Source organism: Homo sapiens, chromosome 1 (genome assembly GCF_000001405.40).
Source record: "Homo sapiens chromosome 1, GRCh38.p14 Primary Assembly".
Classification (NCBI taxonomy): domain Eukaryota; kingdom Metazoa; phylum Chordata; class Mammalia; order Primates; family Hominidae; genus Homo; species Homo sapiens.
This window is the reverse complement of record NC_000001.11, coordinates 14,186,714-14,201,110: the sequence shown is the minus strand read 5'-3', so window position 1 is coordinate 14,201,110 and position 14,397 is coordinate 14,186,714. Positions and strand designations below refer to the sequence as shown.

Sequence of the window (14,397 nt, the reverse complement as noted above, 5' to 3'; positions counted from 1 at the left end):
GCCATCTTTGCTCATCATTCATTATCTAACCCAATAGGCACACCACTCCCTAAGATAAATTGGGCCGGGAGAGGCCATGCACCAGGAGAGGCCATGCGCCAATCAAAGGAAAGAAGCACAGGTGTGTTGGGAACGCTTGAGGAAAGTTTGTGTTTGAGTAACAAATACTAATGAGGCTGTCAGGAGCTCTATAGTCCTCCATGGAGCCAGCCAGCTGGGTGCTTTATCTTTCAAAAAATTATCATTAAATTAAAAAAAAAAAAGTAACCAAGACTCTTGGTGGGTGTTCACTTCCAGCACAGGTGTGGTGGAGAGGATTGCAATATGAATCAGTTATCTCAATAGGCTGTGCATTAAGTACTTCGCTTAGAAAAATAAATTCAGTAAAAACAATATACTGAATACAGGACAAGATATATGCATACAAAATGTATATAGACACACAATTGCACTTGCTTCACAAAGCACATGCCATATTACACATTTTAACAGTAGGCTTTCTGTGTTTGCCTATATGTTACCAATATATTACAAATAACATATGCATATGCAGAAACAAACTGGGCTCAATCCAAATTTGCTGCCCTTTTAGGAGACTAGGGGTAGTTCCATAGAATAATAAATGTTAGCAAGTAAGACATGTATTTCTTCTAAACTTGTTTTTAAAATTTTTTTCCATATGGGGAAGTGTTTTCCCCTACTAGTTGTGAAAATAACATACTATAGAAATTCAAAAAAAAGAAAGGATGAAATAAAAACTATTATCTCACTGTTCAGAGATCACTTCTGTTAATATTTCTGTGTACTTTCTTCTAAGCTTTTTTAAAATTTACCAATTTATTATGGACATGTTTTCATGTCAATAAACATAGATCTACCTAATTGCGTTTAATGGTTCTAGGGTATTTTACTCTAGGGATGAGCTCAAATTCATTTACCCAATCAAATATTATTGGATTTTTATTTGGTTTCCAATTTTTCACTGTTGTGAGCAAGAGATAGGGTTTAAAACAACAAAAACAAGACTACATAGGATATGCATGCATCAAAGAAAAGTTAAACAGCAGAGAAATATTAACTACTTTTATCTGTGATACAAATGAAATGAAGCAGTCGTTTGATAACGTCAATGCTGTGGCTTCCTTAAATTTCAGTAGCGCTCTTTCTAAGAGTAAGGCCAAGCAGAAGGAAGGTGTCAGGTAGAAAACAGTTTGCAGAATTTATAATCTGTCCTATCAGCAAGCCCAAGATCCCTGTGGGTCTCAGCTGACTCCTTAACTGTGATTAGAGCAAGCCAGAGATGCAGAAGCAGAGGGAAAAAATGCTAAGGATATCATTAGAAGCCTTAATTTCTGAATATGTCTTTGCTGCAAGCTCTCTTGGTAACCTTTCCTAGCAACTTCCAGTGGAGAAGTCTTTCCTGATATGCTGGTAAAATGTCTCCTGCTGCAACTATTGTCAATTTTTCTTACTTCATCCCCAGAGCCCTTCTTTCAACAACTGCATGGCAAGTGCCTGCTTCAGGCAGGTGAACAAGACAGACCTGGGCCCTGCACTCAAGGAGGGTGCAACCCAGCGACGAATTCCACAAGTCCTTGAGCCTGTGATCAGTTTTGGAGGGTGGGGAATGAGTAAGATAGAGAATTGATGGTGGACTATATGCAATAGTGTAGTCAGGAAGGGCCCTGCGAGAGGTGACATTTAAACTGAGACCTGAGGAGTGATGGAAGCCATCTGTGCAAAGTGTGGACAGAGAGCCGTCTACTCACAGAAACATGTTCAAAGGTGGGAGATCGGAGAGTCCCACTGCCTGACTGGGCAGAAAAGGGCGGTGAGGGTGGGAGAGTAGCAATCCTGAGGAAACTGGATGGTTGGTCACTTTCAGCAGGCTATTAGCATAGGGGCTTAGAAGTCATGGAGGAGAGTGTGGATTTATTCTAAATGCAATGGGAAACACTGTATTTAAGCAGGGACTTGCAATGTCAGTAAGGAGTACCCCAGATTGCCCAAGTCAAAATACAGGAATCATTTTTAATGCATTTCTTATCCTTATTCCCATATCATCGACCTGTCACATCTGCTTCCAGACTATCTCTCAAACCCATCCACTCCTCCATTCTTTTTTATTAATACTCCAGTGCAAAGCCCTAATGTGTATTGATTAAAGCCTGGGCTCTGAAGCCAGATTACCCAGGTTCAAACCTTAGCTTTGCCACCTACTGGCTGGGTGACCTCCAGTAACTTATTTAACCTCTCTGGGCATCCCTTTTCTCATCTGTCATATGGAGATTATAGACAACCCTACCTTAGAGGGTTGTAATGAATATGGAATAAATAAACATATGTACAGTGGTTATACTAGTGCTGGACACTTAAGTTCTCAATACTCACTTTCATATTAATAGTTATAAACATTCACCTCTTGATGGCACAAATCTGATATCTTCTTACCTTCTCTCCCTGCTTCCGCAATTGCCCCAACCATCAATTTCTTCTTCTTATTATTATTTGGAGATAGAGTCTTGCTCTGTCACCCAGGCTAGAGTGCAATGGCGCAATCTCAGCTCACCGCAATCTCCACCTCCCCAGTTCAATTGATTCTTGTGCCTCAGCCTCCTGAGTAGCTGAGATTACAGGCATGCGCCACCATGCCCAGCTAATTTTTATATTTGTATTAGAGATGGGGTTTTGCCATGTCAGCCAGGCTGGTCTTGAACTCCTGGCCTCAAGTGATTCTCCCACCTCAGCCTCCCAAAGTGCTGGGATTACAGGTGTGAGCCACTATGCCTGACCCCATCAAGTCTTTTTGCCATCATCTACTCTCCCTCAGTAACCTAAAACATCTGTAAAAAGTCAGATTTTTATCACCATCCTTCTCCCTTCTTAGGATCCTCTAGTGGCTTCTATTGCTCTTGGAATAAAATTCTTTCCTTGATCTCAGAGCCCCTTTGTGACCTAACTCATAACAGCCTGTCTCTGGCAGCTTTTCAATTTTTGTCTTTATGCTTGAGAACTCGAAATGCCACTGTGATATTTCAATGTGTAAGTTTTTACTACGACTACAACAACTACTACTACTACTCTGTTACTATGATTTTTCAACCCTGAGTGGAACCCGGTGGTCCTGTTCAATCTGAGGACACATGTCTTTATTCAGCTCTACAAACACTCCAGCCATTATGACCACAAATGTCATCCCCTTCATTCTCCCTATTTTTCTCCTGCTTCTCCTGGCTCCTCAACTCCACATATCAACTTGTTTTTTAGAACGCTCATGTTTATTCCTGTATGCTTTTTCTGGGGGAATCTATCAGCCTGACCTTCCTGCTCACTCTTCGTATTTGTTCATTCTTCTAGTCTACTTAGAAAATAAGGTTCTGGTAGTGGTGGTTTTTCTTTTTTGTTGTTGTTATTGTTTTGTTTGAGATGGAGTCTTGCTGTGTCACACAGGCTGAAGTGTAGTGGTGTGATCTTGGCTCACTGCAACCTCTGCCTCCTGGGTTTAAACGATTCTCCTGTCTCAGCCTCCCAAGTAGCTGGGATTACAGGCACGTGCCACCACGCCTGGCTAATTTTTGTATTTTTAGTAGAGACAGGGTTTTGCCATGTTGGCCAGGCTGGTCTAGAACTCCTGACCTCAGGTGATCCACCTGATTCACCTCCCAAAGTGCTGGGATTACAGGCATGTACCACCTTGACTGGCCTTTTTTTTTTTTTTTTTTTAACATTTACTTTTTTTTTAATTTAAAAGATCTCTAATTGGTTCTTTCTCAAATTCCTTCCACCTTGACAACCTGTGCAAGAGCATTATGGCAGGCACTGTCTTATCTCCTGCATCAACAATCTTTCTCTCATTCTCAACAACACATGATATGCTCTGTTTAAAAACAAAACAAAAAAATCCCCGTTTCTCTTAACTCTATATTCTTCTCTAACTACTGGACCCATGATCTGCCCCTTGGTAAAACACTAACAAGTCATCTCTACCCCCCTCCCCATTCTTTCCTGAACTCATTCCAGCTGGGCTCACGCCCCCAGAATCCACCTAATTTTCCCTTATCACAGGGACCAATGTCCTCCACATTGCTGCCTCCAGTGATCAATGAACATCCTCATTCCGGCCCATCTATCAGCAGAATTGCTCACAAAGGATCATTTTCAGCTTCTTAATATGCTTTCTTCAGCTTGCTATGGTGGCAGCACTCTCTTTGAAGCCTCCTTCACTTTCACTGGCTGCTCCATCTCAGTCTTTGTGCTGGTTCTTCCTCGCCTTCCCAGCTTTTGGAAACTAGTCTTTCCCAGGGCTCAGTCCTGGGACTTCTCCTCTCCTCATTTACACTAACTCCCTAGAGGAACTTACCCCATCACATAACTTTGTATTTCCAATCTGATTCTTTCCCTGAACCCCAGGCTTCTCACTGAATAGCTCTACTTGGAGGTCTCCCAGCATCTTAAACATATGTCCCAACCCAAACTCTTGATTCTGCCTTTAATCACCTCCCCTTGATCTTCTCACTCGCCTTCCCTTCCCTCCAGCCTTCTCGATTCTTCCAGATGCCCAAGCCAAAATCCTCAGGGTTGCCCTTGACTCCTCTCTTTCTCTCTCACCTCCCATCCTATATATCAACAAAATTTCTTGGCATCATCTAAAAGGAATTCCAGAAGTTGTCCATTTCTCACCACCTTGGAGAGGTAATGGTCCAAGTAACATTATTTCATATCTGGGTTACTGTCTCCTAATAGGTCACCTAGTTTCCATTCCTTAGGCCCTATTGTACAGGTTACTCTTTTGGAATATTTAATCCAATTATATCATTCCTTTGTTTGAAATCCCCCATAGGCTCCCCCTTTTGTTCAGCATAAAAGCCAGACTCCTTCAAAGCCATAAATGGCTTACCTTGCCCTGTCTTCTACTCTGATTTATTCTCTGGAACTCTCACCCTTGCTCACCCTCCTCCAACCACCGTTGTCTCTTGGTTGTTCCTCAAAAAGTTGAGACATCCTCCTGACTCAGGGCCTTGACACCTGCTGTTCCTTGTCTCTGAAATGGTCTCTCCCTTGACATCCACTTGGTTTATCCACTCTCTTAGTTTTTTAAGGCCTTTTTGGACCACCCTACATATATTGGATGCCCCTACTTCAATTCCTACACCTCTTAAACCTCTGACTCTACCTTATTTCCTTCTACAATACATCGCCTGACACATAAATTTATTTGTTTTACTAGTTATGTTTTTATCTCTCCCGCCTAGGCTTTAAGCTCCAGGAAGACTGGGATTTTGCCTCACTTACTTTCGATTTCCTAGTGCCTTAACTATGCCTAGCATACAGCAGGAACTCAATCAGTAGGGGCAGAATTAACAAATGAATGAATGAAGGGCCTGTGTTCTGATTTTTCAGATGCAACATTTTCTTATTTCTCCGAGGATATTAATTATACTTATTTAAAAATCCTGTTCCAATTTATCTGCTAACTATTTTCTCAGATGTAAGTTTTCCAGTTTATTGAGTCTGTAATTTTGTCATTTCTGCCTCATTTTGTCAGTAGTTTCCAAATGTTTAGTGATTGTGTGTGTGTGTGTGTGTGTGTGTGTGTGTGAGCCGTTTTTGTAATTGGAATCCCTGATGGATGATTTTCTGGTTTTGTTTAGGTGGCCCACTCTGGACAAGCTCACACACCCCTCTACCATATTCTCTCTGGGCTTCTGGGACTCAATCCTAATAAACACTTGGACATAGAGAAAAAGCTATCAGCAACGCAGAATGAAGAGGAGGTATCGGAGGTCCTAGAAGATAAAGAAGGGAGGGTGGAGGGACAAGTGACAAAATAGTGCCAATTCCTGGGCTCTGGAAGAGTAAACCTGTCCATATTGCTGAAGAAGGAACAGCCTTGAAGAAGGAACAGCCTTATCAGTGAATTAGAAACACTCCATTAATGAAGGGAAAATTTCAGATGTGCTTATAGAATTTAAAAAAATATATTTTTTCTTCTATAATAAGCTGTTGTATCTATAGAAAATTTCTATGAGAATGTATTGGTCTTTCCTCGAAGGGTTGATTGTTGGCTGAAAAGCATTTTCCAGCCAACTATGCAAGCAGCTTAATTGTGCCTCCTTGAAAATGAGAACTATACTTGAATACTCCAACCAAATCTGGAGAGGGGTTGGCACAAGATAAACAGGGTTGTCCCACAGGTAGACCAAGTAGGCAGTCACGTAACAGGTTGAGGCTCCTCAATCTCAAATCTCTATCCTTGCCAGACTCCCAAATTATACAAACTACTCCAGATTCACTCCTCTAGAAAGTGGTGGCTCATGTCCCCCTCCCCTCCCTTCAGCTGCTCTGATTTAGGCTGGCTACGTTCCCTCAAGGGCCCATGCCCTCCTATCCCAAAATACTCTCATGCTGCTCCACAAAACTAAAAAGAAAGGGCAACTGCACTGTCTGGCACATAGCACTCAGTGAAGCCTTCATGAAAAACACTGTACTTTCCCAGAGTCTTTCCTCCCTCCAAATGCAAATAGATACTTTACAGACTGCCTCCCCAAGGACTGCTGGGAGAGGATGGGTCTGGGGACACAGACAACGATGGGGAAAGGGCAAGTCTGACTAATGGGGGCATATCAAGGAAACTGGACCAGGGAAACAGAAGCCTCATGCAAAAGAGCAAGTAACAGTCCAGGGAACTGGAAAAGTCCTGGGAGAGGAATTTAATCCACTCCACAATCCCTCCAAAGGCAGAAGATGGTGGACAGAAGATGACAACCAGGTTTGCCACACTGAGCCAAATTCTGGATCCTGGGAGACTCAACTTGTCCCCTGGGGTAGCAGCATGACTCTGTCCACAAGCTACAGCTGCTGGTAAGCCTTGCTCAATCTCCATTCCACTTGCTTGTTTGCCCCCATGCGTCCTCTAAAGTATCAAGATTTGGTTGAAACTGATTAAGAAGCCCTAAAGATCACCTGAAATGTCAAGTGCTCCTCCATTCTAATAATATGCATCTGGAATACTTCCCAGATGAGGGAAGACATGTTTCCCTTTGATTTAGAGTTGGAAGGATGACAGAGTGGAGGCAGTAATGATGATGAAAAGAAAGCCATAAGCCAGGTGACAACTTCCAGTCACCCAGGGAAGCCAATAATAGGGAATCAACAAATTATGCGTGATGTTGGCATCAGCAGCATAAACAACAGCGATACCACCTACAGCAAATGCTGTTAAAACACAGCCGCCTGCTATGCCAAGCCTGGGCTCTTAGAGGACCCTAGGCTTATCTTTGATAAAATAAAAACCTCTAGGGCCAGCATTCAAGGCTGTTACTCTATGGAGATCAAGGAAACACACAGGTTGGCCTCAAAGTGCAACCATTTTTATTCCATTAAACTAAGAAAAAAAGAAATGCACTACTATTGAACTGAATTATACCTGGTAAAAAAAAAAAAAAAAAACACCTTAGTCTTTCTTAGTTTGTGATCTTCTGATCAGGAGAGGTGTATTAGATTCCTGTGGCTGACACAAGGAAGTAGCACAGACTGGGTGGCTGATACAACAGCAATTTACAGTCTTACAGTGCTGGAGGCTGGAAGCTCATAATCAAGAAGGTAGCAGGGTAAGTTCCTTTTAAAGGCTCTAAGGGAGCCTCTGTTCCAGGCCACTCTCCCAGCTTCTGGTAGCCCCATGCATGTCTTGGCTTACAGACGCATCACTCCAATCCCTCATTTTCATATGGTGCTCTCCAAGACGTGTCTTCACATTGTTTCACCTCTGTGCATATTTGTCTCTGTCTCCAAATTTCCCCTTTTTATAAAGACACCAGTGTATTAGTCTGTTTTCATACTGCTGTAAAGAACTGCCCAAGCCTGGGTAATTTATAAAAGAAAGAGGTTAATTGACTCACAGTTCAGCATGGCTGGGGAGGCCTCAGGAAACTTACAATCATGGTGGAAGGTGAAGCGGAAGCAAGGCACCTTCTTCACAAGGCGGCAGGAAGGAGAAGTACAGGGGGAAGAACGCCTTATAAAACCATCAGATCTTTTGAGAACTCGCTCATTATCATGAGAACAGCATGGGGGAACTGCCCCCATGATCCAATCACCTTCATCTGGTCTCTCTTTTGACACACAGGGATTATGGGGATTTGGGTGGGGATACAAAGCTTAACCATATCACATCAGTCATAATGGATTAGCACCCACTCTAATGGCCTTAACATGATTAACTCTGTAAAGACCCAATGTCCAAATAATGTCACATTCTTAGGTTCTGGGAGCTAGGACTTCAACATAGCTATTCTTGAAGATGCAATTCAACTCATAACAAAGGAATTATTTCTTTTTGATGCAGCTGGGAAAATGCAGTGTAGGGCATCCATTTGCAAACTGTGTTCTGCATAACTGTGTTTTGTAGAGGTATTTCAAAGATTCTGAAAACACTGATTCAAATTTTCTTTGAAAATATATTTAAAAGTCATCACATACACTCAACTATGGTACACATCACTTACGAACACTAGTGTACAGCTTGTGCTTCTAGAACAAGTTTTTTTCCAGACCAGGAATAAAACTTCTTATGCCACCTCCACGTATATATTCAAGTTTCTTCTTAGTAAGTTATGGTTTTAAATGACTGTAGCTTTATACAGGTCTTTGAATTCAAGCTCTGTGCTTGACTGCACAAGTGTAGAAATGAGTGGGTCCCTGGAGCTTAATTTCAAGTGACCAGACACCTCTGCTCAGGGAGAGCTCCCACCCTGTCCTGTGGCTAACCAAGTATGGAATATCAATGGGACAGTATTGCATATAAAGGATGACATTTCCTATAAGGTTTGGGTACCCTATCATTCAAAATTCCTCATGTTGCAAGTGACAGAAGCCCAACTCAATCTAGTTGAAGTGAAATGGGGATTTTCTTGCCTACTCCACAGAGTGTTTCTTTTCCCCTTTGTTCCTCACTGTCTTAATTTCCCTGTGGAGTTTCCTCTATGTCTATGTTTGGGGGTACCACGAATTGGCTCAGGCCACACACATTCCACCACTCTCTAGCCCACCTCCCTGAACTACAGAAAATGGAAAGCTAAAAATTCCCTTGCAGCTGCATTTCCCAAGGTGGCCTAGGTTCTGCACCTAGGAGTAAGATGCTGGTGGCCAATGAGACAGCCATGGTGAGAGAGGAGATTGGCTCCTTTAGCAAACTGGAGGCAGAAGTACTTGGTTCTCTAGGATAGCTCTGGAGGGAGTCCTAGCATTCTGTCCTTGGTGTCATGGATGCCACCCATCACCTGCCTGTGTGAGGCAGCTGCTGTGCAGTTTCCACTAACAGTCTTATGGATGGTTTCTCCTGGCTACTGTTATTTCTGGCTATGTAGTCTCTAAACCCAGTTTCAAGACCTCTTAGAGATTCTGTAGGCTACCAAAATCTCTCTTAAAAAGTCCTTTCTAGTTAAATTAGAGGGTTTGCTGATGTCTGCTGTTAAAAACTATGACGGATACAGCATAACTCCAATGATCAGCAGAGACACTGATGACTCCCAGACGTGTTCCTTGAGCCCGGAACTCTCTCTCAGGCTGAAGACAGATAAAAGACTGTCTCTTAGACAACTACACCTAGATGTACCATGGGTCCCTAGATTTTCAATCTCCAAATCAAGCTCCTTACTTCCCCATTCAAGCCTGCTGTTCCTTCTGTTTCCTTTATGAGGTGTTACTAAACCATAATCTGAGGCTCATCCTAGACCCATGTCTCACTTTCACCTCCAAATTTCAATTAATGAAATTGCTACTTGCTAAACATTCCCTGAATATATTTTTTCCTCTTTAATCTTACTGCCCCTCATTATAGTCCATTGCCAAAACAAACTGCCTCCTGTTCTCAGTCTCACCTCAGCCAATCCATTTTTCACTCTTCCTCCAGAGTAATATTTCAAATAGCCAAATATAACCATAACATCCCTTTGCTTAAATGCATTCAATGCACCCTTTTGCTTAAATGCATTAAATCCATCACCATTACTGTGGTTCTCAAGCTGGATGAATGGTGTAAAACCAGGGGGCACATGCTGCAGAGACTGGCTAAAACCTCACCAAATCTATTTTCCTCTTTCTCCTGAGAACATGACTAGACCACTTTCCAGCTCCCCTTTCAGTTATAGGTCTTAGTAAGTCAGACCTGAATTCAAATATTGGATATGCAATTGTGTCAGCTAGCTCTTGCTACGTTACAAAACACCTTGGAACTTTATTATTTCTTATAAGTGTGCAGATTAGTGGTTATGCTGTTCTGGGATGAGCCCAGCTGAAATCTGCTGGGCTTTCTCATACATTGTCACTTCAGTAGGTTTGCTGGGAGCTGGCTAGTCTAGGAGGGACTCAGCAGGATGACTCACCTGGGCTCCACGTGATCCCTCACCCTCCAGACAGCTAGCTCAGGCTTGTTCTCATGGTAGACAGAATTTCAAGAAAGAGCAGAAATATGCAAGGTATCTTGGTGTCTAGTCTCTAAAGCGACCCACCCTTTTTACTGCATTATCTTAGCCAAAGAAAAGTATAGGCCAGTTCAGAATCAAAGGGCAAGTAAATGCCTCTTATAGAGAAAGGCTGCAAAGTCACATTGCAAAGAAAGAAAGTAAAGAATGACAGCCATTTTTGCAATCAAACTAGCACAGGTATTCACTAGCTATGTGGCTTTAAATAAATTTCCTCTTTGGGCCTCAGTTTCCTCACCTGTAAAATAGAGAAAATCCCACGTCCCTCACAAAGTCACCGGGGGTATTAAATGAGATAATGGAGGTAAAATCCTTAGCAGAGTGTTTGGCGTCTAGTAAGTACTCAATAATCTTTCACTACCTTTATTTTTCACATCGCTCTGCAATGTGTACCACTGTGACTTTCAGGTTGTTGGTATAAGCTCAGGAAGTATTTGTTGAACAAATTAACCATGCACCTGTTGTAATGACCAGCTGAATTGATGTACTTTTAATGGCTCATCGTGTTTCTAGCTCTGTCACAAGCCTACACTTCTCCCAGTTCATCACCAGCCCATTTGAAGTCATCCTGCCCAAGTTGGATGTAGAGGCCTCTTAAATTATGTCCTCCAGCTGTTCAGACAGTCTGTTCTCTGTGCACATATAGGGGTATAAGAACACAGTTCGTGCCCTCTAAATAGACCAACTAGAGCAGTCTTTCCAAAACAGAAGGTCCATAAAACTTGCTTTAGGGCAGTTTAAACTCCCATTTCCAATAGATAAAAAATTGCCAAGAGTTATCCTAAGAAACCTTGTGCTGATTTGTTTGTGTGATAGATTGAATTAATGGCCCGTATTTTATACCTCTTGGTGATAACTTCTCACACTCACTCTGGCCTCGGTGATGCGACTTGCTTTGGCCAATGGGATAGCAGCAAACTTGATACAAACAGAGGCTGGAAAAGTGATTGCTTTGTCTACTTTTTCTTTTGATGGACCCCTATCACCACTATGGAAATATTCTGGAGTTAGCCTGCTAAGGAGGGTGAGAGAGGTGAGTCATTGCAGCTGAGGACATCTAAGATGAGCCAGGCCCCAGTGCACAATGTATGAGGGACACCAGTCAAGATGAATCAAGCCTGTCCGTATTAGCAGAATTACCCAGGCAATCCATAGACTTACAGGAAGTATAGAAGTAGCTGTTGCTTAAAGCCACTGTTTTGGGATGGTTTTTTAAGGCAGCAGTCACGGATACAAATCTATGCCATGATTCTCAGTATCAATTGTATCATGAGCTCCTCTTTGTTTTGTACTTTTGGAGGAGAAAAATAAAAGAGGGATCAGACTCAGTAATCCAATACAAGAACATCCATTCTGAAAGCAAGTCTCTGGGCTACTAAGCTGGCCAAAGCAAATGACCTTGGTTCAAGTCCCACAGGAATAAGTGAGTACTTAAAATAGCCAGGTCACCATCTCATTATTAAACTACTTTTAAGTGTGATTTACTCAAAGACAAGGAATGAAGGAACATGGGCTATTGGCTCGAGTTGGCACCAAGGAGTCTTACTGGCTGTATTCCCAGGTTCAACGTCAGATTTAAATGACGACACTTAGCAACACCATGCCTCAATTTACCTGGCTACTCTTATGGGACTGTTTGAGTTTAATATGAATGTGTATAAGGATTCCTGTTCTAAGTGCAATTTTTTTAAGATTATAATTATATGGCATACATTTGGCTCTCTATCATCTGACTAATGGATGGGAGCTACAACCTTAAAAAGATACTAAATAACGGATAAGAAAAAAGTCTGATATTGAATTCAATTGTGGTGGAAAAAAATATTGGCAATGAAATTACTTTCCTAATTTTGTCTCATTCAGACTAACACTGGTTTACATTTCCTGAGTGCATGCCACCAGGGAAGAAATGCTTTGCCCATGGATAATCTATGGGTACATAATTGAGAACTGACTACTGGCTAGATTCTATGAGGCTGCTCTTCCGGTAAGTTACTGCATATTCTTCATATTCTTGTTCAGAACAGCTCTACACTTTCCTCATTTCCCCTTCATCCATCCCACTCCTATGTCTCATGAAATTCGAACAACTCTTACCCTAGCCTTCTTTTGTGTGTGTCTCTATGTCCCCAGCATCTAGCTAGAAAAGCCTGAGATCCCGGTTCCTCTGTGGACACCAATAGGCAAAGGATTAAAGGATCCTCTGTTCCCAAGGGACCAGCTGGAATTGTTATATTCCCTAAATTAAATGTAAATTTCTGAAAAAATAATTTGTATATATCTTTTGCAACATCTCAGGGGAGCTATTTCCAATCACCTCATGGGGTAATGCTTAACACACAAAACTAAAGTACAAATATATGCAATAAAGCATGAGACAAGGCTTCTCTTTCACACACACACACACACACACACACACACACACACACACACACGCTCCTCTCTCTCTCTCTCCATCCCCAGATCTAAGTTTAAATGTCATGTTCAAAGAGAATGTCTTTGAACTGTTATCTAAATGGGGTCCTGGTACAGTGTTTCTTTAAGACAAACATTAAAACTCACTGTTATCTGTTTACTCCCATATTTATAGTCAGTTGCCCCCAGTGAAACCCCAGATCCTTGAGGGCAAGGATTACTCCTTTCATCTTCACCGGTGTTTCCCCCATAGGCTGGCAACATCCCTGGCACATAACAGATGCTCAATAGAAAAAGGAGAAAGTGAGTGAATGGATAACGAAGATGTATCTGGAAAATCAATTATGATCAATTATAGGGCTTGAAATAAAAGAATTCCGAAATCAAAAGAGTTCCATAAATAATTAAAAAGTTAGCCTTGGACCTAAAGTAGGGTTTCTCAATCTTGACACTCCTAACATTTGAAGTTGGATAAGTCTTTGCTGTGAGCAGCTCTCCTGTGCATTGTAGAGAGTTTAGCAACATCCTTGGCTTCTACCTACTGGATGCTAGCAGCACACTCACCCCCTGCCAGTCAGGACAACTGAAAATATCTCCAGACATTGCCAGATGTCACCTGGTGTGGGAGGGAAGCAAAGTTGCTCTGCTTCCTTCTCAGCTGGGAGCCTCTCATCTAAAGGGTGATGGTGGGATTGGGTATTATTTTGGAAGCCAAGTATTTGCCAACATCACAGTAGACATCATGAAGAAAATGAGATATGTGAGGTAGGGGGCTGTAATATATTTCCTATTCTATTTAAATACTTTTGTAAACCATATTCTTGGAAGCTGAACCTTTCTAGGAGTCTGAGAGGGTAGTGTGTAGCTTTAAGAATGTATCAACATATTAAAATTGTCAAAATATTTTTAGTTATGTGAGGTATTCTATATCTGAAGCCAGGTTTTAATGTTCTTCTTTCCCAAAATTACATACCCCCTTTCTATCTATTTAATAACCCCTCAGGAAGCAAATACTCCAAGTCACCATCTGCAAGTAGGAAATCAATTACTCCTTCTTTGCGACGGGCTGGATGGAACAATGTAAAAAAGGCTATTTTATTCAAGCTTAATACCTAGTTTTCAAAATAGAGATAATAATACCCAACCTCCTGTCCCTCTCATGGCTGAGAAGATGAGAAAATGCTGGCAAAAGTACTTTGTAAACAGTAAAGTGATCTGCAAATATCAGCTAGGTCCTTCTCCGAGATTCCACAGCCCCCATGTACGCTGTCATCAGTATTTATCATGGAGCACTTCAACGTCCAGTTATCCATCTAATCCTGAACCCCTCTGGTGGGGGAGGAGAGTTAGGGGTAAAGTTCTGTCCCTCTCTGTCCCTAGAACTTAGAGCAGTGCCAAGCTGTGTACTGAGACCCAAGCATGAAGTCCACGCATGCAGCAGGCAGAGTAAATTAATTATTGCCTCCATCTGCAGCGGTGTCTGCCAGCATCTACTCCTCTT

General features: G+C 42.0%; 1 protein-coding gene across 6 annotated transcripts in view; it reads right to left on the bottom strand.

Annotated features, from left to right (window-relative positions):
* KAZN (kazrin, periplakin interacting protein) overlaps window positions 1-14,397 on the bottom strand; it is a 1,225,220-nt gene that overhangs the window by 916,933 nt on the left and 293,890 nt on the right. The window lies entirely within an intron of this gene.